The sequence below is a fragment of the Homo sapiens genome, chromosome 11, assembly GCF_000001405.40.
Source record: "Homo sapiens chromosome 11, GRCh38.p14 Primary Assembly".
NCBI lineage: Eukaryota > Metazoa > Chordata > Mammalia > Primates > Hominidae > Homo > Homo sapiens.
The window spans coordinates 68,369,634-68,392,080 of NC_000011.10; the positions used below are offsets into that span (position 1 = coordinate 68,369,634).

General features: G+C 57.1%; 1 protein-coding gene across 10 annotated transcripts in view, besides 6 other annotated features; it reads left to right on the top strand.

Moving 5' to 3' along the window:
• The window catches only part of LRP5 (LDL receptor related protein 5), a 150,864-nt gene that overhangs the window by 71,222 nt on the left and 57,195 nt on the right, over nucleotides 1-22,447 (top strand). For 9 of the 10 annotated variants that reach the window (XR_001747874.2, XM_011545031.2, XM_011545029.2 and 6 more), the window contains exons 6-7: nucleotides 16,683-17,079; nucleotides 20,248-20,419. Coding sequence is in view for 8 of the 10 variants with exons in the window: in XM_011545031.2 (XP_011543333.1) it covers nucleotides 16,683-17,079; nucleotides 20,248-20,419 (569 nt within the window). In the remaining 2 variants the exon portion in view is untranslated. The remainder of the gene's footprint in view (nucleotides 1-16,682; nucleotides 17,080-20,247; nucleotides 20,420-22,447) is intronic. The other variant, NM_001291902.2, reaches the window with a different exon arrangement.
• Nucleotides 1,602-1,651: an enhancer, noted in NCBI's record as "active region_5135". NCBI's record gives its function as "activates an Ori minimal core promoter by ATAC-STARR-seq in GM12878 lymphoblastoid cells {active_cell/tissue: GM12878}" and the evidence as "EXISTENCE:reporter gene assay evidence [ECO:0000049][PMID:35858748]".
• Nucleotides 4,111-4,834: an enhancer, noted in NCBI's record as "H3K4me1 hESC enhancer chr11:68141212-68141935 (GRCh37/hg19 assembly coordinates)". NCBI's record gives its function as "activates a minimal SCP1, AML or CMV promoter by ChIP-STARR-seq in primed H9 embryonic stem cells {active_cell/tissue: H9 hESC(primed)}" and the evidence as "EXISTENCE:reporter gene assay evidence [ECO:0000049][PMID:30033119]".
• Nucleotides 10,785-10,874: an enhancer, noted in NCBI's record as "active region_5136". NCBI's record gives its function as "activates an Ori minimal core promoter by ATAC-STARR-seq in GM12878 lymphoblastoid cells {active_cell/tissue: GM12878}" and the evidence as "EXISTENCE:reporter gene assay evidence [ECO:0000049][PMID:35858748]".
• Nucleotides 10,905-10,954: an enhancer, noted in NCBI's record as "active region_5137". NCBI's record gives its function as "activates an Ori minimal core promoter by ATAC-STARR-seq in GM12878 lymphoblastoid cells {active_cell/tissue: GM12878}" and the evidence as "EXISTENCE:reporter gene assay evidence [ECO:0000049][PMID:35858748]".
• Nucleotides 11,255-11,304: an enhancer, noted in NCBI's record as "active region_5138". NCBI's record gives its function as "activates an Ori minimal core promoter by ATAC-STARR-seq in GM12878 lymphoblastoid cells {active_cell/tissue: GM12878}" and the evidence as "EXISTENCE:reporter gene assay evidence [ECO:0000049][PMID:35858748]".
• Nucleotides 17,078-17,301: a silencer, noted in NCBI's record as "fragment chr11:68154179-68154402 (GRCh37/hg19 assembly coordinates)". NCBI's record gives its function as "represses an EF-1alpha promoter that drives an FKBP-Casp9 reporter gene in an ReSE screen in K562 erythroleukemia cells {active_cell/tissue: K562}" and the evidence as "EXISTENCE:reporter gene assay evidence [ECO:0000049][PMID:32094911]".

Here is a 22,447-nt window from a genome sequence, read left to right on the forward strand (position 1 = left end):
GGTAGTCGTGCGCCTGTAATCCCAGCTATTTGGGAGACTGAGGCAAGAGAACATGTTGCCCTGGGAGCTTTTGTTAAGGGTCCCTGTGTGGCTCCCTCACGTATCAGAGTTCCAGGAACGGGTGTGGGCCCTGATAAAATCCCAGACTCATGGCTCAGTGAAGTCGCACAGCTGGACAAGCTTGGAGACCCCCAAATAACTTGCCCAGGCTACCCTGGCTTGCAAAGGGCCACTGCTCATCCAGGGGTGACGGAGCCGTGCTGGGTGCCTGGCATCCAGTGGGTGCCCAGTGTCCAGCTGCCATGTCCACTGTCCATGCCCTTATCACCTTCATGTTGTCACCATGACCGGCGCCTTAGGTGCTGTGGCTGGTGCCAGGCCCGTGAGAGCTGGGGCAGGTTCACTCAGGGTCCAGGTTTGCCTGCATCGTCCCAGAATCCTCCCATACCTGGGGGAGTGGGCTGTCAGTGGGAGCCAGTAAAGGGGCGTTGATTTCTTTCCCAACCAGAAGAGGCAGGGGCTATAGACTTAGGTGGAGCCCCTGGCTCTTTGCTGGCTCCCAGGGTTCTAACAGCTGGGCCTTCTGAGCCCTGGGGACTGGCTGCTCGTGGCTGAGCCCTTCAAGGGCATTGCGCTCCTTCTGCAAATGTAATTCCCAGTCTCCATGTCCAGGCCCAGAGCAGCCCTGGGGAGTCCTCAGGGCTCATTTTCCTGCAAGCGGGGGAGAGGGGGGGACAGGCCCTGTGGTGATTAGAGGAGGCTGCCTGCGCTCACAGGGGGTGGTTAGGCTACCCAGAGGAGGAGGCCCCTGCAGGCTGGCAGGGGGCCTGGTGGCTCTGGCCCCAGCCCTGGGCTCTGTGGCATGGAGCTGACACCACAGACACCTGTGGGGTTGGACCGCTGGACTAGCAGCGAGCCCTGCCCTTCCAGTTGGATAGCTTTTCCATTCCAGAGCCGTCAGGGCCGCAGGGCTGAGCACGCAGCTCCACGCTCCCTAGAGACTCAGCCGTCAGGGGTCACCTTTCTCTAGTCTTGTGGGAACTGTTTTTGCCCTCAGCCGTGAGAGGCACTTTTACACATAACTCAGTTGGAGCATGACTGGCACGCAGGAGAAAAACATTTTGTGTCATTTATAGGCCCTGCTTGGGCGAGACTCTGGGCCGGGAACGTCCACATGCAGCCAGTGTGGGGACTGTTTTACTCTGAGCCTGAATCTTTCTGCTTTGGTTCCAGATGCCGTGTGTAGGGTGTTCTGTCAAAGGGAGGAAAAAGCTCCTCAATGAGACAGAAAGATGCAACTGGGAGTCTGGTTTTGCATGAGGACGTGAGCGTTTCAGTTCACTTTTTTTTGTAAGCATGGTTCCCCAGTCTGACCTCAGAGCTGCCTGGAGATGGGCCCCACCCGCTTCCCGTTAATTAACAGGCTGGTGCTCGGTGTGGATGCTGGCTCCTCCGTCTCCCTGCCCTGGGCCCTTTTGAAGCTGAAGTGTTCCAGGGGCAGCTGGTGTGGAAATAGAGTTTTCTAGAGGTTTTAGAGTTGAGAAGAAACCTAAACTCTTCTTAGAAGCATTTCAAGGGTTTGTCACCAGGATGGCTCTCTGCAAATTTGAGGTGGTTCTAGAAGATCTTCCCATATTTCTTAATCCAGAGGGAGATGGGGATGGGCGAGAAACGGCTTTGTCCTTAAGGAAGTCATGTTCTGGTTGGAGGACAGGCACGGCCTAGCATTGAAGCTGGTGAGTCAGAGCCGGACCTGTGAGCGGGGCCAGAATGGGGCGCGGGCTTCAGACTTCACAAAGCAGACCACGCGGCAGCCTGGGGCTTTAGTATCCAAATGTCCTGCCCTCCAGGTTTCATTCCTTGCCGTAAAATATCACGTTAAAGGAAAATGTTTTGTTAAAAGACCACAGTCCTGTCACCTGAGCACAGTCGCTGTTCTCGGTTCCTCTGTGGCTTTCCAGGCTGCAGGTGCCCATTGGTATTGCGGCCGTGCGCCCGGCGGGCATGAATTAGCTGTGCCGCCTGGCTGCTGACGGGACGCCTCGCCTCGACTGAAAACTACCTGGAGCTGCTCACCCAGGGGCAACGTGAAGAAAACGTGAAATTCTGTCGCTTGTTGCAGCTGACAGCACGGCTGTGAGGTCCCAGTGGGCAGAGGCCTCGTGCAGGGCACCTCACCAGCCGGGATGTCAGAGCTGGCCAGAAGGAGCGGTGCCCATGGAGGGCTGCCAGTGCCCAGAGAGCCTTCCGAGGTGTCACGTTGGGCAGTGAAATTCAGAGTCGGGCAGAGGAGGCCCTGGGGTCACACAGGGATCTCCTCCAGGCTATGGGTTGGTGAGGTCCAGTGTCCGGGGGTGAAGGATAGAGGCTCTGTGGTGAGGGCTCTGGAGCTGGCCCTGGGCTAGCGGAAACGCAGGTAACGAAGGAGGCTGTGCTGGTGGGACTTGTGCCTGTTCCCGAGGGAGGCATTGTGAGTGATGTTTAGGCCAAGAGGATTCAGGATGGAAGACATGGCTTGGTTTGTAGTTGGGAGCCGGCCAAGGAGTGGTGTTGAGAAAGTGCAGTGTCAGGCAGACCCGGGACCGTGGCGGTGAGGAGGTGCAGTGTCAGGCAGACCCGGGACCGTGGTGATGAGGAAATGCAGTGTCAGGCAGACCCGGGACTGTGGTGATGAGGAAATGCAGTGTCAGGCAGACCCGGGACTGTGGTGGTGGTGAGGAGGTGCAGTGTCAGGCAGACCCGGGACCGTGGTGGTGTTGAGGAGGTGCAGTGTCAGGCAGACCCGGGACCGTGGCGGCGAGGAGGTGCAGCGTCAGGCGGACCCGGGACCGTGGCGGCGAGGAGGTGCAGTGTCAGGCAGACCGGGGACTTGGAGCACCTAGTTCCACTTGCGGGCTGACCTTCTATTTTTTGTCATCGTGTTGGGAGCTTAGGAAAGTGACTTAACCTCTCTGTGCTTCAGTTTGTCCGTTGGTAGAAAGGGGGTGATTATACTCCCCGCTCCATGGGGTTTGGAGGAAGGCTGTGTGGGTTGTGCTGAGCAGCGTGATGGTGCAGGCTGTCTGGGTCAGTGCCGAGGGAGCGAGTCTTCCTTCGGCGGTTGTAATCAGAAGTAGCTTCCAAGGCTGGGTGCTGCCAGGAGGAGCTGGGGTGGGTGAAGGGGCAGTGGGGAGCACGGCTCACACGGCCAGCGGGTGACCTGGGGAGGACGGAGGGGGGTGTGCTGGGCGCTTCAGGCGTGTGGCTCCCTTTCCTGTGGGGCGAAGGTCAGGAGGGGGGCAGGGCCTGGCTGTGTCAGAATCACTCAGACTCTTAAGACACATCCAGAGTCCCCAGCCCCACCCCAACCCAACGCACCCACTCCACCAGAAGAAACGGGGCAGGTGGGGGCCAAATCTGTGAGTTCCCAAGGGAGGACTGTGTGGGGCAGGTTGTGGGGGGCGGCGCTAGCATGGCTGGAAACATCTCGAGGTTTGAAGCCAGAGCCTCAGGTGAGACTCAAGGGTCCCTGGGACTCCCTCCTGGGTGTCTGACCGTTTATCTTTCATGGAGTTACAGGCGAAGACATTTCTGTGATGTCTTGAATTCTGCTTTTTCCTGATTTTGAGCAAATGAAAGCCAGCTGGGTGTAGGGAGTCAGGTGCCTTCCCCAAGGAAGGGGCTGAGAGGGTGGTCACACCGGGACCCCAAGGGACAGGGAGCAGCGTTCCCAGGGGCACACAGGCGGCCTCCTAGAGGTAGGGATGCGTTGGTGGCGGGGGGGGCCCCGCACTGCTGTGTGCCTTCAAGGTGGCACTATTTACGTGGCCCCTGAGCTGCAGGGTGACCGCTAGCCCTGGGCTGTGTCCTGGCTCCCCCGCCCCTCCTGAAGTGACCCCCATGAGACAGGGCAGGTATATCCCACGAGCCTCTGCCGCCCAGCGTGGCCGGGGCTCAGTGGGACCATGGCGGCTGCGATGCTGCTCTCTGCAGCTCAGAGTCACTCTCATCCCCAGCAGTCGAGTGCAGAGCCTGGGCCTCCGGCCTCCCCACCCCCTCCACACAGCCCCAGGACCAAGGCGGCAGCTGGCTTCGGTTTCTGCCATGTTTTTCCAATTATGTGGAATGAGCTAAAAACAGCAGGAGTGAGGCCTTATTTGGGAGTTGCCACCGCCATCCTCGGAAGCTGCTGTTCCTCACTGCCACCCCTCCAGCCCCATCCTCTGTGGAACGTGCCCCTGTTCTTTTGACTTTTGTCTCCTGCACATCCCTCCTGCTTGGGGGCCTTTGGGCAGTGGGCTTAGCGGCGTGCACCATGCCACTCGGGCCACACGTGCCCTGGCCGGTGGCTCTCAGAGCTATGTCCAGAGGGTGGCCAGGCAGTGCTCCCGGCAGCGCCCAGATGAGGCTGGGGTGCGGCTTGGGGATTTGTGGGCCGCTGGCCACAGCTCACCCAGACAGAGTTTTAACAGATGTTCGTCTGTCAGGGACAGGAAACAAAAAGAAGTCGGGGATGGAGTGGGGGCAGCGGGAGGAACAGAGGGGGCCACTGTCGAGTCTGACGGGCAGACTGACAGCTGGAGCCGACGGCAAAGCCCCTCACGTCCCTCCGTCTGTCCGGGCGGATTAGCTCAGGAAGCAGGGCCCGCTCAGCTCGGGGCCGAATAACGGGCGTTTGTTCCCAGAGTCTGGCTGTCTTGTCACTTATCAGGGAAGTAGGTCAAAGGGAAAAAAGAAAGGAGGTCCTGTGGGGCCGAGTCTGCCGCGGCCGGGCAGTGATTGGCGTTGACTTTGCAAACAGAAGGCAGCTGCTGTTCTCAGCCATGGACCGTGAATTTTTAATAGCAAGAAAATCAGCTCACACGGTTCAGGAAGTTGTGGAAGAAGCCTGAGTGCTAACTTTATTTTTTTAATTGAGGTATAACTTGCAGGCAATAAAACGCACACATTTTAACGTGTACATTTGGATTAACTTTGACAGCTGCATATGTCTGCATAACTACCACACGGTCCAGACAGAGAACATTTCTACCACTGGGAAAGTTCCCGGTGCCCCTTTGCCATCCTCAACCCCCGCCCCCTCCACCACTCTCCTGACTTCTATCACCTTGGATTAGCGTTGCCTGTTCCAGAACTACATGGAAATGGAACCACGCAGCTGTGCTCTTCTGCTTTTTGGCCTGAATACTCACTGTCAGGGCTGATGCAAGAGGAGAGGGGCGCATCATATTCCTGGAGAACGCTGTCACCGTGGAGCGGGGGCACAGGGGGAATGGCATCTCTGGGATGGGTGAATGCTGTGGGCGCCTTTCCACAGGCTCAGAGTTAGACTGTGGTCACTGGTTTTGTCCCCTGCAGCCTCTTCCATGTCCCCCTTGTGACTGCAGCATAAGCCCAGCTCCATGCGGACCCCAGACCAGCTCCGCAGCTCCAACAGCTTCCCTTTATCTTCAGTGGCGAGCTTTGCGCTTGCAGGGTGCGGGGCCTGGTGGGACGCCCACGTTGCCCAGACAGAACCCTTGTGCGGCTGCGGGCACTCCTTGCCCTTTCCGCATTTGGTGATGACTCCTTGTTTCGTTTCACTGACCGTGCCCTGTGCCTCTGCTCTCCCTCCCCAGTTCCGTGTGCCCTGGGGTCAGTGATAGAAGACACGGCCCCTGGGCCCCAAGTCTGCTGAGCTGACACCTCGGGCTGCCGCTCACCTGCAGAGAGACACTAGAAGGCTCCGACTCCCTTCCTGGCCCCCACTCTGTTTTTCTACCTTTTACCGCCTATTCCAATGGAAATGCACGATTTGTTTCTCCCTGTGCACATCTGAGTGTGGACCTCCCTGCCCCTGCTCGTGCTGTGCCCACCACCTGGAGCACCCTTCCCCTGCCCCCTGCCCCCGGCCACAGCGCCCCTCCATCCAGACCCCACTCCTGCACACGGCTCCTCCGCCCGTGCGCAGCCCTCTGAGAGTGTGGCAGGTGCACCAGGCTCTGCTCTAGGGAGCTTCTTCCTCTTCCTGTGTCCCACGGGACCAACATCGGGACCCAGGAAACAGGCTGGGAGAGTTCGGTAACACCTTCAAGAGGGTTTGAGAGCTGAGGTTCTTTGGTCTTCAGTGGAGCTGGCAGTGACTTTCTTGACTTTGTCAAGAGAAGCCCCCCGTCTCTGTGCCACCTCTGGGGATCTGATTGAACGGAAATCAGAGCATCCGAGTTCCAGCCTCAGCCCTCTGCTGTGTGGCTGTGAAATGTAGGCCCTGTGTGCCTTGCTGACCTGGGAGGGTCGAAAGGACGGTGTCTGGGGAAGGATGCATAAGTTGTAGAGTGCCCTGCACTTGTGATAGGTGGGGCCGCGTGAACTGCTGATAGCCATCTTCTGTCAGTTGGGGCAGTGGCATTGTCACATGGTTCCATTCTAATCCGTTATTTTGGCTACTGCCACTGAGGCGGGGTGGGTGACAAAAGTAACGTTTCTTGGGGGCCACTGCAGCGGTCATGGTCCTGAGCCCTATACCCAGGCACGCGTCCTGGGAGCTGTGTGAGGGGTCGTCCGTGGCTGGCCCTGCTTCTTTTTTTTTTTTTTTTTTTTTTTTAATTGAGACAGAGTCTCTCTCTGTCACCTAGGCTGGAGTGCAATGGCGCGATCTCCGCTAACTGCAACCTCTGCCTGCTGAGCTCAAGCGATTATCCTGCCTCAGCCTCCCGAGTAGCTTGGACTATAGGCACCCGCCACCACACTCGGCTTATTTTTTGTATTTTTAGTAGAGATGGGGTTTCACCGTGTTAGCCAGGATGGTCTCGATCTCCTGACCATCTCGTGATCCACCCACCTTGGCCTCCCAAAGTGCTGGGATTACAGGCATGAGCCACCATGCCTGGCCGGCCCTACTTCTTAAATGGGCCTGAGGCACACGGTGCCGAGAGCTCGCTGAGGTCTATGGAGGAAGGGCGCAGATGGGATCTGGGCCTGGCGTCCTGGCCGGCCCCCAAGGCCTTCTCCACAGAGTTTCCATGTATACCGGGGTGGCCTTGCGGAGGGGCGCAGCCATGCGTCAGGCTGGAGCCAGCTGCAGAGGCCACAGACAGGGTGTCATGAGCAGTACAAGTAACCGCTGCTGTCCATTGAACACCTACTGTGTGCCTGGGTTCAGAAAGGCACCCTGTGCTGGCTTTTAAAGAATTAGGCCGCCTGCCTAAAGGGGGGAGTGTGGCCTTCTTTTTCATTTAAGTCACCAACTGTTTTATACATCCACGCCCCTAAATTCTTCAGTTTTAGGCAAAGATGAGAGGGCTGCCCAGGCGTCATTTGCTCAACAAAACCACACTTCACTTGTGAGGCTGTGTTCCCTCACCAGGGTCCCCAGCAAGGGGGTGTGAGTGTTTAGTACCACAGGGAGGGCTGGCGCGGTGGCTCACGCCTGTAATCCCAGCACTTTAGGAACTCCTCACCTGAGGTCAGGAGTTCGAGACCAGCCTGGCCAACATGGTGAAATCCCATCCCCACTGCCTGCCTGGGGAGTGGCCATGCAGCCATGGGCCTGAGGTTGTGGTGGGGCATGGGGGCAGAGGCAGGCAGTGGGGGGCCACAGGAGGGGCTGGCTGGCACCGAGGGATGGGAGAGGAAGGGACCCGCCTGCAGGTCCCTTCCTGAGGCCGGCACTGACTTGGTCACTCTCTGGCTGCCCTGACCCCAGGCAGAGCAGCGACTTTCCTGTTTTAGAGCTGAGCAGACAGAGCCCCTGACTGCAGGCCAAGGTGCCTGCCAGCTGCTCCTGGAGGGCCATAGCCTCTCTGTGCTTGCTGGAAGGTCCCAGGCACCGTGCAGGTGACAGTGGCCGGCCTCAGGTTCCAGCAGAGCCAGCATCGGGCCCAGCCACTTCCCTTGTGCTTTGTGACCCTATGGTCACTTGGCACAGGATCCCGGGTCAAATGCTGCGGTTGCGGCATTTGCCCCACCACTTACCCCTGGGGGCAGCGGAGAAACTTAATCAATTGCTAAACAACAAAAATAATCTGGCCGCCTGCCAGCTGGGAAGCCACTGTGGCCAGGCTGTTTATGGCCTTGGGATCTGCGCAGTGGACAGTGGCCTGCACCGTGACCCCGTTCATCCTGCGTGCCCCAGGCCCAGGAGGTGGCTCAAGCCCTCTGCCTCCTGTAAGGGCACCTGAGAAGGAGGCCCTGGAGCTGGGAGCAGAGCTGGGGGTGGGCGTCCGGGCAGCAGAGGCCGATTCTCAGCTTTCCCTGGATCTCAGCTTTCCCCGGATCTCAGCTTTCCCCGGATCTCAGCTTTCTGCTACCCGTGTGAAAAGAAGCCAGGAGAACACAGCTATCCTGGGTTGGTGCCGGCTGTGGTGGGAGGCCTGCGGTGGGAGCCTCCGGGGGCCACTGGACCTTTCCTGGGTGGCCTGTGGCCTGGGAGCTGCACTTGGTTCGGTGCAGGGAGGTTGTGACATCCACTCTGTCTGCAGGGATGGCCGGGGCCCTGCGGCTGGGTGATGAGGTGGGATGGAGGTGTCCGGGGCTGCCCTGCCTCCTTTTGCCAAAATAACAAAAATTATCTTGTTTGTTTGTGAAAAAACCTGTTTTCCCACATTGGGGCATGGAGGGTATTAACTGTGATGACCTTCTGAGTTCCTGCACACTGGTGACCCATTGGCAGGGTCTCCTCCTGGCTCTGGCAGGGGTGGCTCAGGCCGCTGGGCGACGGTGTGCTGGCCAGATAGTTCCTGGGGCTGCAGGTGGCTTCTTTCGCCCCATCCCTCCCATCCCCTTTCATTCTTCCTGTCAACACATCTCAGACCCTGGACACCGAATGAGCCGTCGGTACCCACACCCCAGGGCAATTCAGTGGAGGGGTAGGTGGCTCGTTCCCCCACGTTGCCCCAGGAAGAGGACCCTGTCCCCGGCATCCTGACCCACCTCCCACCTCCCTTAGAGACCGAGAGCCTCTAAGGATAAACCCATTCACCCGTGTTTCAGAGGCTTTTTTTTCCTCTTATAAAATAACATTTATACGTTCGCTGTAGCAAGGAAAACATTATAAAAAATAGTGAAGAAAATAGAAATTACCCATAATTTTGCCACACAGACTTAGTTGTGTCCATGTATCTTGTGCACCTTTTTTCTGTTTACGGATCAAAATCGACTTTTAGGGTCAGGCGCGGTGGCTCACACCTGTAATCCCAACACTTTGGGAGGCTGGAGTTGGGGTTGGGGGGTGGATCACTGAAGATCAGGAGTTTGAGACCAGCCTGGCCAACATGGCGAAACTCCATCTCTACTAAAAATAAAAGATTAGCCAGGCGTGGTGGTGGGTGCCTCTAATCCCAGCTACTCCGGAGGCTGAGGCAGGAGAATCGCTTGAACCCAGGAGACAGAGGTTGCAGTGAGCCAGGATCACGCCACTGCACTCCAGCCTGGCAACAGAGCGAGACTCTGTCTCAAAAAAAAAAATAAAAATAAAATAAATAAATACATAAATTGACTTTTAGGAGATTGGTTCAAACAATGTGTGTAATGTTGTGTCTGAGTGTTTTTCATTTATCGTTCATGCAAATTCCGACATCATTCACTCTTCTCCAGAGTGTGCTGTTTTCCTGCCTGTGTCATCACCCGTCACCTTGAATGCCCTCGTTTAGGTAAAATAAGTACATTTTATTCAAAAATATTTGAGGACATTTGGGTTGTCTCCAGGTTCTTGGTCTTGAGTTTTGCTGTTCTTGTGGAGCCATGGTGGTGTCTGGTTGCAGGAACCTCCATGCGTTCCAGCTGCTGCTTCTGCCTGTGTTCTTAGAGAGGAAATGCTGGGGTCCGCGGTTCCCGGGCTGCTGACCAGGAAGCCTGCGGTGCTTTACGGCCCTTCCAGAAGCGGGAGATGCCCCCACTTAAGTGTCAGACAGGCCTTTCCACCTCACTGGCAGCTCTGAGCGGCTCCCTTCTATTTGCAGATGACTGAGAAGTTACCAATTTCCACGTTTACTGACTGCTGTTTCTCCTGTTAATTTGTATTTATAGTCTTCGCTAATTTATTGCTAGGGTTTTGGTGTTGTCCCTATTGACTTGTATGCCTTTTAATTTTTTAAACAACATTAATAGACTTCATTTTTTTAGAGCAGTTTTAAGTTTACAGGAAAATTAAGGGACAAGTACAGAGAGTTCCTTCCACCTGCTGTCCTCCTCTCCTCCTCCCCACCTTCCCTCCTTCCCCTATTGTAACTTTCTTTCTGATATTATAAAAGTCACTCATGGCTGGGCGTGGTGGCTCACGCCTGTAATCCCAGCACGTTGGGAGGCAGAGGCAGGCAGATCACCTGAGGTCAGGAGTTCCAGACCAGCCTGGCCAACATGGTGAAACCCCGTCTCTACTAAAAACACAAAAAGTTAGCCAGGCGTGGTGGCGGGCACCTGTAATCCCAGCTACTCAGGAGGCTGAGGCAGGAGAATGGCGTGAACCTGGGAGGCAGAGGTTACAGTGAGTCGAGATCGCGCCACTGCACTCCAGCCTGGGCAATAAGAGTGAAGCTTCGTCTCAAAAACAAAGTCACACACGCTTCTTGTACGAGGGTCATTTGGCCGAGGGGCCAGATGGCTCACCATCTAGTTGGGACAGGCCATGAGCTCGGAATGCTTTTTACATATTTACATGGTTGAGAAGAAAATCAGGAGAATAATGTTTTGGGACATGGGAAAATGACATGGAATTTGCATTTTAGTGTCCATAAATGAAGTTTTGTTTGCTCCCAGCTGTGTTGACTGAGGCAGGCTGGCTTCCTACAGCTGCGGCAGAGCTGAGGAGGCGGGAAGGAGACCGTGCAGGCCGCAGCACCGAAAATATTTGCTCTCTGGCCCTTCCCAGAGTGCTTGCCGACCTCTGTCCGACAGCTAGAAGGAAGGATAGGACCCGTCCGACGATAACCACTGTTGACATTTGAGCGCGTTTCCTTCCCGGCTTTTGTGTGAGAGTGGCAGTCTGTTTGCTTTTGTGGTCGGGATCTGCTGCACGCACGGCGGGCTGTTTGCATGAGGCTTCCTGGAGGATAGGGCTGGGCTCGGAGCTGCACGCAGTGGGGCGTGTCCTGCATGCAGTGGGGCCTCAGAAGAGAGCTGTGGTGGGCGGGGCAGTGCCAATGCTGGTGGGTGCCAGGCCTCCACGCTCAGATCAGCCCCGGCGACAGGTTTGGGCCACCCTCTCTCTGGCCTCTGTGCAGTGGCCCAGGCCGTCTGCTCTGCCTGGCACACTTGCCTCTGTCCTTCCACTGAAGCGCTCCTCTTACCCTCTGCTCCCGGCTGGGTACGTTGAATTGTGTCCCTCAAGGAGATATGCTAAAGGTCTAACCCCAGGAACCTGTGTATGTGATCTAATTTGGAAACAGGGTCTTGGCAGATGTAATCAAGCGAGGATGAGGTCACCCTAGAGTAGGGGGCCTATATCCACGGTGCTGGTGTCCTCATGAGAGCAGGTGAGCAGACACTGACACTCAGGGGTGAAGGCTGCATGGAGTCAGAACAGGGCTTAGTGCGATGGCGGCCACAAGCCAAGGAACTCCAAGTATTTCCTGCAACACCAGAAGCTGGAAGATGCCAGGAAGGATCCTGCCCTGGAGCCTTCGGAGGGAGTCTGTCCCTGCAGACGTCTTGACTTTTGATTGCAGGGATGCATGTCTTAGGGTGTGTGGGGGGGTGCATTTCTGATGTTAGAAGCCACCTGGTTGGTGGCGATGTGTCACGGGAGCCCTCTGCAGGTTCTGCGTGTCCATGTGGTCGGGGACAGAGGTGGGCAGGGACGGACGGTGTCGAGCTGGACATGTCCATGACGTCGGCCATCCCTTGGGATGGCTTTTTTGTTTTGAGGATAAGGCTGCCTGCCAGGAAGCTGTGCCCTGCCTGGCCCTTGCCCCAAGCCCCTGGCCTGTGCTTGGCCTCGCGGAAGGGATGTCGCCCTTCTCTCCTGCATGCGTGCAGGGAGGAAGGGGAGAGGTCAGCAGCCCGCCTGGAGGAGGCTCGGGCGAGGGGAAGGTTTCACTTTCAGGCAATGTTGTGGGGCTGTTTAAACAACCCCAAAGAAAACCATTTGGCCAAACTGTTAGTTTCCAAACATTTTACTTCCTTGGTGTTTAAATAAATTCCTACCAAGACTCTGTAGCTGGTCCCAGGGAAGGAGTTGGCCTCTCTTCTTTATAGCCCGGCACAGTCAGTCCCCTGCACCTGCCCCTCCCAACCCCAGGCCTGCTTCCCCGTGGCCATGGCTGCTGCCCGGACCTCTCTACACACAGAACCTCCTGGAGGCCAGCTGTGGGCACCAGCCTTGGCAGGGCTGTGGCGGAGCCCAGGCTGCTGGTACTCTCTCTGCAGCTGCTCCCTGCTGGCCTGGCTGGACAGAGTCCCCACCACCACTGGGGTCACCTCTGTGCTGGTCACAGCTCACTCAGACCTTCAGGCAAATGGGTTGGATCCTGCCTCTCTCCCAGGTGTCTCAGTCTCTGCAAAACTCAAAAACCTCAGAGGCCTTGCAGCCTGAGGGGTGTCAGAGACACCTCCTTCGAGTCAGTAAACACCTACAGATTCACCCCAGCAGTGAAAGGACTGCTTCGCCACAGAGGTTTGATTTACTCCTAAGTAATTGGAAGGGATGCCGAGAATAGGTTCCTCATGGTGGGACTAGAGGCCCTCTGCTGACCTAGTTACCAGAGGGCTAGGGCTGGGTGTGCTCAGCCCCTGAAGGTTCTAGGCCCATTTGGGACACCCCGCCAGAACCTGCCACAACCTGCCATGTGGTGACAGCTACCTAAATCCCAGAGGCTCTTGAGCTGGAGAGCAGACCTCTCAATCTCAGCAGGCCCCCCACACAGACCCCATAACCCTAGTCTGCCTTCACAGTACAGTTCGTGGCTATGTGTTCACGGATGGTGTCGTTCACCTAAGGTCTCTGCCCTGTGACCCCAAGGGCGTCCTGAGGGCAGATTCCAAGTCTGTTTCGTCCACCCCTCCTTCCCTAGCAGCGGGTCCAGGGCCTGGCCTGAACTAGCTTCCCACAGAGATACTGGTGGGATGATGAAGGCAGCCAGGCGGCAAGTGAAAAACGCACTTCCTGCATGTGCTGGCTCCTGGGATTGAAGTGTTTGAGGAAGCAAAGTGAAGTGAGCTTTCCTCTTGCGGCTGTGTGTCCTTGGGCCGGGAGCCTACCCTCTCTGAGCGTTGGGGTCCTTGTCAGTAGAATGGGGCATCCTCATAGCTCAAGGGGTGGTGTGTGAAAATTGTGCTATTGTGTTACTTTAATGATTTTTTTTTTTTTCGAGACAAAGTCTCACCCCAACGCGCAGGCTGGAGTGCAGTGGCGCGATCTCAGCTCATTGCAACCTCTGCCTCCTGGGTTCAAGTGATTCTCCTGCCTCAGCCTCCCAAGTAGCTGGAATTACAGGAGTGCGCCACCAGGCCTGGCATATTTTTCTATTTTTAGTAGAGAGGGGGTTTTACCATGTTGGCTAGGCTGGTCTTGAACTCCTGACCTCAGGTGATCCACCTGCCTCGGCCTCCCAAAGTGCTGGGATTACAAGCATGAGCCACCGCGCCCGGCCTACTTTAGTGATTTCTTAGGAGGACAGAGGGAACGGGCTGGCAAGACAGGCTTGGAATGTGTTTTGGGATCAAGTGCCGGTTTCTGTCTGGCACTGGCGTTCTCTGTGGGGCCATGATGGACACACTGCTGAGGTCAAGCGTGATTCGTCTTGCGCTGTGCCTGGCAGTCTCATTGGAAAGTTCTGTAGACATCGTGTGGATGGGGCTCTTCCCGGCCAAGCCCTTGGGGACCTTCCAGGACTGTGATCTCCCCACAGTGGCTGTTAAGCAGGGACCTTTCGTGAAGTGGAGTCTCTGGTCCCCTCCAAGTCATAGCTAGACAGGGACTCGGGCATCGCCAAGCCTGGCTGATTATTCACTGGATGAGGAGACAGGCCCAGAGAGGGGCAGGAACCTGCCCGAGGTCACCCAGCAGGCCCCAGAGGTTTCGGTCTCGGATTCTCCCTGCTCATCCCTGGATGTAGTGCTGCTGTGGATGTGGTTCTGTGCTGGGGGCTGTGGAGAGCAGGGGGCTTGTGCCAGGACCCCAGTGAGGGTGGCGCCCTCGCCATGAGGCCGACTGTTGGTATGGGGCGGCCATCCACTGGGGTGTGGGGAGGAACAGCTTTCCTGAGGAGGAGGTGGCGGGAGGAACAGCTTCCCTGAGGAGGAGGTGGCGGTGCTGTGTGACCTGGGCCTTGAAGGACAGGTCCATTGTCAACAGAACATTTTGGGAGTGGAGCCTAGAGGGAGAAAATTTGTTGAAATTCAGATTCCCCTCCCCCTACCAATACACACCAAATCAGATGCCCCTGACCAGATCTAAATTTGGCTCTCAGAGATTTCCATTGTAGCTGGGCACTTGGGGAACCTTCTAAGTGCTGCCTCTGCCTCTCCCCAGCCTGCCTGCCTCAGTTTCCCCAGCCCTGGGCCCGTGTCGCTGTTGCCATCACGTGGGCGCCCTCTAGTGGAGGAATCAGATTATGCACTCCGGGGCTTGGAGCAGGAGTCAGGAGGGGCTCCTGTCTTTCCTTGAAACGTTGGATGCCGGGATCCTGGAACAGTCTCTGCATTCCTCCTGGCGAGAGCCAGAGCCTGGGCACAGGGGACCATCTGTTGTTTGAAGGCTGCAGCCTGGCAGGGCACTCAGGAGATCTGGCAGTTGGCTGCAGGGCCAGGTCTAGGGGCCAGGGCATCAGGGAGGCTCTGGGCTGGTTCAGCCCCGGGCCCCTTTGCAGATTGTGACCTGGGCCCCTGTGCAGGGGCATGGCCACAGGATGCTGGGAGGGGTCTCTGACCCTGACCTTCTTGGCTCTGTGCATCCTTGAGACCAGAAAGGTCTGGAACAAATGAGTAGACGATGCCCTAACCTGGGGAGGGAGCCACATCCTGATCCCAGCAACCTCAGGAAGGATCTGTCAGGATTATGGGGCACCCTGGGGGCCCCAAGTCTGCATGGGTCTCCACTTGCAATTTCTGTAGGAAGCTCTGATAAATCCAAACTGGGGGTCCTAGGACACAGTCAGAAATGCTGATACCGTTGTGTGTGGAGCCTCGGGCCCTGGGGGTCAGGAGCATGTGGAGGGTGGGCCACGGGGGTTCAGAAGAGAATCCTGTAACCCCCCACCCCCCAAACTGAAGCCCACTTGAGGGCCATGGCTGAAAGGTTGGGGGGTCTCCGTGCGTCCTGTGGAGTGGGTGGTGAGGAGTCCTTGGGTTTGCACGCCTCTGGGCCTGAGCGGCGGGACCCCGTCCACAGCGGATCCCTGGGCCCTGTTGCTCAGATGCTCTCAGAGTGTTGCTGTGGCCACGGAGGGAGCCTGAGTTAAGCTTCTCTTGTGCCGGTTGTACGCTGTCAGGTCACACTGGTGAGTTAGGCAGGGCACAGATGCCCAGAGCAGAGGGAACTTTCCTTGGGGATTCAACACGTGCAAGTCTTAGGGGCTGGCAAATCCTGCCCTCAGCTAGAGAGGGGGCTTTTATTTGAGACCAGAATCACCTGAGCATCCTCCTGTCCCCAGCTGTGTCCAGCCTGTCTGCAGGGACATCCTGAGAGGACCAGGCTCTCCCCTCATCCACCTGCCTAAGTGCCACTCTGAACCCTGTCCACCTGTGCCGTGGAGGGGCGTGACCTCAAGCTGCTCAGCCAGCAGCAGGCTTGGCCCTGGGGGGCAGCAGAGACCCAGGTGGCTGTGGGGTGGGTGCTTCGTGGCGTGGTTCTGAAACTTCGTTGGAAGTGTGTGGACAGTGCCTTGCCTGTTCTCTGTGGGACCCTATTTAGAAACGAGGTCTGAGTTACTGGGGGTCATCACTGTGTTCTGATGGCCCAGCTGTGTGGAGGCCGCGGTGCAGCCCCATCCAAGGAGCCAGGGCCCTGGGTCTAGCCGTGACCAGAATGCATGCCCCGGAGGTGTTTCTCATCTCGCACCTGTGTTGCCTGGTGTGTCAAGTGGTCGTGAAACTCTGTGTTAGCTCTTGGTGTTCCTGAAAGTGCCCCCGGGTCTCAGGCCTCAGAACCAGGGTTTCCCTTCATCTCGGTGGCCTGGGAGCATCTGGGCAGTTGAGCAAAGAGGGCGATTCACTTGAAGGGTGTGTCTGGCCCTGCCTAGGAGCCCCCCGGCACGGTGCTGGGGCCTGAAGCCGCCCTCGGGTGGTGGAGAGGAGGGAGCGATGAAGTGGCGTCGAGCTGGGCAGGAAGGGTGAGCCCCTGCAAGGTGGGCATGCTGGGGACGCTGAGCAGCATGGCCAGCAGCTGGGTCTGCAGCCTGGTACCCGGCGGGACTTGTGGTTGGGGCTGGTTTGTGGCCAGGAGAGGGGCTGGCAGGAGACAAGGGGGACTGTGAGGCAGCTCCCACCCAGCAGCTGAAGCCCAATGGCCTGGCTGTGTGGCTCTCAGCTGCGTGCATAACCTCTCAGTGCTTCAGTTCTCTCATTTGTAAAATGAGGAAACAAACAGTGCCAGCCTCCCAGAGGTGTCATGAGGATGAACGAGTGACCATGTAGCATGGGCTGGGTGCGTGTCACCTAACATCACCAGCCTTTGCAAGGAGAGCCCTGGGGGCCTGGCTGAGTATTTCCCTTGCCCGGCCCACCCCAGGCCTAGACTTGTGCCTGCTGCAGGCCCTTGACCCCTGACCCCATTGCACCTGTCTCCACAGGAGCCGAGGAGGTGCTGCTGCTGGCCCGGCGGACGGACCTACGGAGGATCTCGCTGGACACGCCGGACTTCACCGACATCGTGCTGCAGGTGGACGACATCCGGCACGCCATTGCCATCGACTACGACCCGCTAGAGGGCTATGTCTACTGGACAGATGACGAGGTGCGGGCCATCCGCAGGGCGTACCTGGACGGGTCTGGGGCGCAGACGCTGGTCAACACCGAGATCAACGACCCCGATGGCATCGCGGTCGACTGGGTGGCCCGAAACCTCTACTGGACCGACACGGGCACGGACCGCATCGAGGTGACGCGCCTCAACGGCACCTCCCGCAAGATCCTGGTGTCGGAGGACCTGGACGAGCCCCGAGCCATCGCACTGCACCCCGTGATGGGGTAAGACGGGCGGGGGCTGGGGCCTGGAGCCAGGGCCAGGCCAAGCACAGGCGAGAGGGAGATTGACCTGGACCTGTCATTCTGGGACACTGTCTTGCATCAGAACCCGGAGGAGGGCTTGTTAAAACACCGGCAGCTGGGCCCCACCCCCAGAGCGGTGATTCAGGAGCTCCAGGGCGGGGCTGAAGACTTGGGTTTCTAACAAGCACCCCAGTGGTCCGGTGCTGCTGCTGGGTCCATGCGTAGAAAGCCCTGGAGACCTGGAGGGAGCCCTTTGTTCCCCTGGCTTCAGTTTCCTCATCTGTAGAATGGAACGGTCCATCTGGGTGATTTCCAGGATGACAGTAGTGACAGTAAGGGCAGCCTCTGTGACACTGACCACAGTACAGGCCAGGCCTCTTTTTTTCTTTTTTTTTTTTTGAGATGGAGTCTCACTCTGTCGCCCAGGCTGGAGTGCAGTGGTGTGATCTCAGCTCACTACAACCTCTGCCTCCTGGGCTCAAGTGATTCTCCTGCCTCAGCCTCCTGAGTAGCTGGGATTACAGGTGCCTGCCACTGTGCTTGGCTAATGTTTGTATTTTTGGTAGAGATGGGGTTTCACCGTCTTGGCCAGGCTGGTCGCAAACTCCTGACCTCAGGTGATCCACCTGCCTCAGCCTCCCAAAGTGCTGGGATTACAGGCATGAGCCACCACGCCCGGTCAGGCCAGGCCTCTTTTGAACACTTTGCACACCATGGGTCTTTTCATCCAGGGGGGTAGGTACAGTTGTACAGTTGAGGACACTGAAGCCCAGAGAGGCTCAGGGACTTGCCCAGGGTCACACAGCAGGATGTGGCAGGTGTGGGGCTGGGCCTGGCAGCGTGGCTCCAGCTTTCCAGCATAGAAATCTGTGAAAGCAGATAGTTTGTCGGTCGGTAGGGGAGACTTTCTGAGACCCGCCCCAGCGGCTCAGAGGGTAGTAGCCAGGGGCCTTCCTGGGGGCTCATAACCCAGAACACTGAATGGGAAAACCCTGATGGAGGAGGCGCAGTGGAGCTGTGGGTGCCGATGGGAAGTCCCAGAGGAGCTGGGAGGTCAGTAGCGGTGCTGCCCTCTGTGGAGCACTTAGTGGGCACCAGGTGTGTTTCCAGGTTCATGGCCCTGGGACCTGAAGCTCAGAAGGTGAAGTAACTTGCCCAGGGCACCCGTCGGGCAGCGGCGGGCAGAGGATTTGTGGGCTGTGGAGCCTGTGCTCGTGGCCCAGCCCTGGGGGTTGTGAGTGTGCTGGCCGGGGAGCTTTTCCTGCAAGTGGACTGGTGTCTAGGAGCCAGCATGTCAGGCAGCAGGCAGCGGGAGTGCAGCAGGCAGCGGGAGCACAGCAGGCAGAGGGCGGGGCTCGAGCAGCCATCCGTGGACCCTGGGGCACGGAGGCATGTGGGAGAGGGCTGCTCCATGGCAGTGGCTGAAGGGCTGGGTTGTGCCCCGAGGAGGGTGGATGAGGGTAAGAAGTGGGGTCCCCAGGGGCTTTAGCAAGAGGAGGCCCAGGAACTGGTTGCCAGCTACAGTGAAGGGAACACGGCCCTGAGGTCAGGAGCTTGGTCAAGTCACTGTCTACATGGGCCTCGGTGTCCTCATCTGTGAAAAAGGAAGGGATGGGGAAGCTGACTCCAAGGCCCCTCCTAGCCCTGGTTTCATGAGTCTGAGGATCCCAGGGACATGGGCTTGGCAGTCTGACCTGTGAGGTCGTGGGGTCCAGGGAGGGGCACCGAGCTGGAAGCGGGAGGCAGAGGGGCTGGCCGGCTGGGTCAGACACAGCTGAAGCAGAGGCTGTGACTTGGGGCCTCAGAACCTTCACCCCTGAGCTGCCACCCCAGGATCTGGGTTCCCTCCTTGGGGGGCCCCAGGGAACAAGTCACCTGTCCTTTGCATAGGGGAGCCCTTCAGCTATGTGCAGAAGGTTCTGCTCTGCCCCTTCCTCCCTCTAGGTGCTCAGCTCCTCCAGCCCACTAGTCAGATGTGAGGCTGCCCCAGACCCTGGGCAGGGTCATTTCTGTCCACTGACCTTTGGGATGGGAGATGAGCTCTTGGCCCCTGAGAGTCCAAGGGCTGGTGTGGTGAAACCCGCACAGGGTGGAAGTGGGCATCCCTGTCCCAGGGGAGCCCCCAGGGACTCTGGTCACTGGGCTTGCCGCTGGCATGCTCAGTCCTCCAGCACTTACTGACACCAGCATCTACTGACACCAACATTTACAAACACCGACATTGACCGACACCGACATTTACCGACACTGACATTTACCAACACTGTTTACCAACACTGACATCTACTGACACTGGCATCTACCAACACTGACATTTACCGACACTGACATTTACCAACACTATTTACCAACACTGACATCTACTGACATTGGCATCTACCAACACCAACATTTACCGACACCAACATTTACCAACACTGAAATTTACCGACACCGACATTTACCGACACTGATATTTACCAACACTGACATCTACTGACGCTGGCATCTACTGACACCGATGCCAGCATCTACCAACACCGACATTTACCAACACTGACATTTACCAACACTGACATTTACCGACATTGACATTTACTGACACTGACATCTACTGACACTGGCATCTACTGACACTGATGTTTACCGACACTAGCATCTACTGACACTGACATTTACCAACACCAGCATCTACCAACACCGACATTTACCAACACTGACATTTACTGACACTGATATCTACTGACACTGGCATCTACTGACACCAACATTTACCAACACCAGCATCTACCAACACCGACATTTACCAACACCAGCATTTACCAACACCGATGTTTACCAACGCCGACGTTTACCGACGCCAGCATCTACCAACACTGACATTTACCGACACCGACATTTACCGACACTGACATTTACTGACACTGACATCTACTGATACTGGCATCTACCGACACTGATATTTACCAACGCCAGCATCTACTGACACTGATGTTTACCAACACCGACATTTACGAGCACCGACATTTACTGACACCAATATTTACTGACATCAACATTTAGCCATGTGATGGGGGCCGGCTTGGGGGCAGGCCTTGCTCTTGGCACTGGGGATGCTGCAGAGACCAGACAGACTCATGGGGTCATGGACTTCTGCTTCTTCTCCAGCCTCATGTACTGGACAGACTGGGGAGAGAACCCTAAAATCGAGTGTGCCAACTTGGATGGGCAGGAGCGGCGTGTGCTGGTCAATGCCTCCCTCGGGTGGCCCAACGGCCTGGCCCTGGACCTGCAGGAGGGGAAGCTCTACTGGGGAGACGCCAAGACAGACAAGATCGAGGTGAGGCTCCTGTGGACATGTTTGATCCAGGAGGCCAGGCCCAGCCACCCCCTGCAGCCAGATGTACGTATTGGCGAGGCACCGATGGGTGCCTGTGCTCTGCTATTTGGCCACATGGAATGCTTGAGAAAATAGTTACAATACTTTCTGACAAAAACGCCTTGAGAGGGTAGCGCTATACAACGTCCTGTGGTTACGTAAGATGTTATCATTCGGCCAGGTGCCTGTAGACACAGCTACTTGGAGACTGAGGTGGGAGGATCGCTGGAGTCCAAGAGTTTGAGGCCAGCCCGGGCAAAGGGGACACAGGAATCCTCTGCACTGCTTTTGCCACTTACTGTGAGATTTAAATTATTTCACAATACAAAATTAAGACAAAAAGTTAATCACATATCCACTGCCCTGCTTAAGACAGAAAACATGGGTGTTGTTGAAGCCAGAGGCAGCTGCTGGCCTGAGTTTGGTGATTGGTTCCTAAGCAGTTGAAGGCAGTTTTGTTTTTCCATAGATGTCTGTTCTCCCTTTGCTGGGTGCAGCCTCGCCCTGCTGCTGTGGTCGGGTTTCAGTGGCCTCGTCCCGTGGACGCAGCCTCGCCCTGCCGCTGTGGTCGGGTTTCAGTGGCCTCGTCCCGTGGACGCAGCCTCGCCCTGCCGCTGTGGTCGGGTTTCAGTGGCCTCGTCCTGTGGACGCAGCCTCGCCCTGCCGCTGTGGTCGGGTTTCAGTGGCCTCGTCCCGTGGACGCAGCCTCGCCCTGCCGCTGTGGTCGGGTTTCAGTGGCCTCGTCCTGTGGACGCAGCCTCGCCCTGCCGCTGTGGTCGGGTTTCAGTGGCCTCGTCCCATGGGCGTGCTTTGGCAGCTTTTTGCTCACCTGTGGAGCCTCTCTTGAGCTTTTTTGTTTGTTGTTTGTTTTTGTTTGATTTTGTTTGATTGTTTGTTTTTGTTGTCGTTGTTGTTGCCCAGGCTGGAGTGCAGTGGCGCGATCTCAGCTCACTGAAACCTCTGCCTCCTTGGGTTCATGCCATTCTCCTGCCTCAGCCTCCCACATAGCTGGGATTACAAGTGCCCGCCACCACGCCTGGCTAAATTTTGTATTTTTAGTAGACAGGGGGTTTCACCATGTTGGTCAGGCTGGTCTGGAACTCCTGGTCTCACATGATCCACCTGCCTCGGCCTCCCAAAGTGTTGGGATTACAGGCGTGAGCCACCGCGCCCAGCCTCTGTTGAGCATATTTTGAGGTTCTCTTGGTGCCAGTGATATGTTACATGTGTCCCCATCGCACCATCGTCACCCATTGAGGTGACATTGGTGCCTCTCCTCGGGGTGGATGCCTCCCTCTGTTTCCAGCAACTTCTGAAGGATTTTCCTGAGCTGCATCAGTCCTTGTTGACGTCACCATCGGGGTCACCTTTGCTCTCCTCAGGGCTCCCAGGGGAGGCCCGAATCAGGCAGCTTGCAGGGCAGGGCAGGATGGAGAACACGAGTGTGTGTCTGTGTTGCAGGATTTCAGACCCTGCTTCTGAGCGGGAGGAGTCTCAGCACCTTCAGGGTGGGGAACCCAGGGATGGGGGAGGCTGAGTGGACGCCCTTCCCACGAAAACCCTAGGAGCTGCAGGTGTGGCCATTTCCTGCTGGAGCTCCTTGTAAATGTTTTGTTTTTGGCAAGGCCCATGTTTGCGGGCCGCTGAGGATGATTTGCCTTCACGCATCCCCGCTACCCGTGGGAGCAGGTCAGGGACTCGCGTGTCTGTGGCACACCAGGCCTGTGACAGGCGTTGTTCCATGTACTGTCTCAGCAGTGGTTTTCTTGAGACAGGGTCTCGCTCGCTCACCCAGGCGAGAGTGCAGTGGCGCAATCACGGCTCGCTGTAGCCTCAATCTCCCTGGGCTCAGGTGATCCTCCTGCCTCACCCTCTGAGTAGCTGGGACTACAGACACATACCACCACACCCAGCTAGTTTTTGTGTATTTTTTGTGGGGGGAGATGGGGTTTCGCTGTGGTGCCCAAGCTGATCTCAAACTCCTGAGGC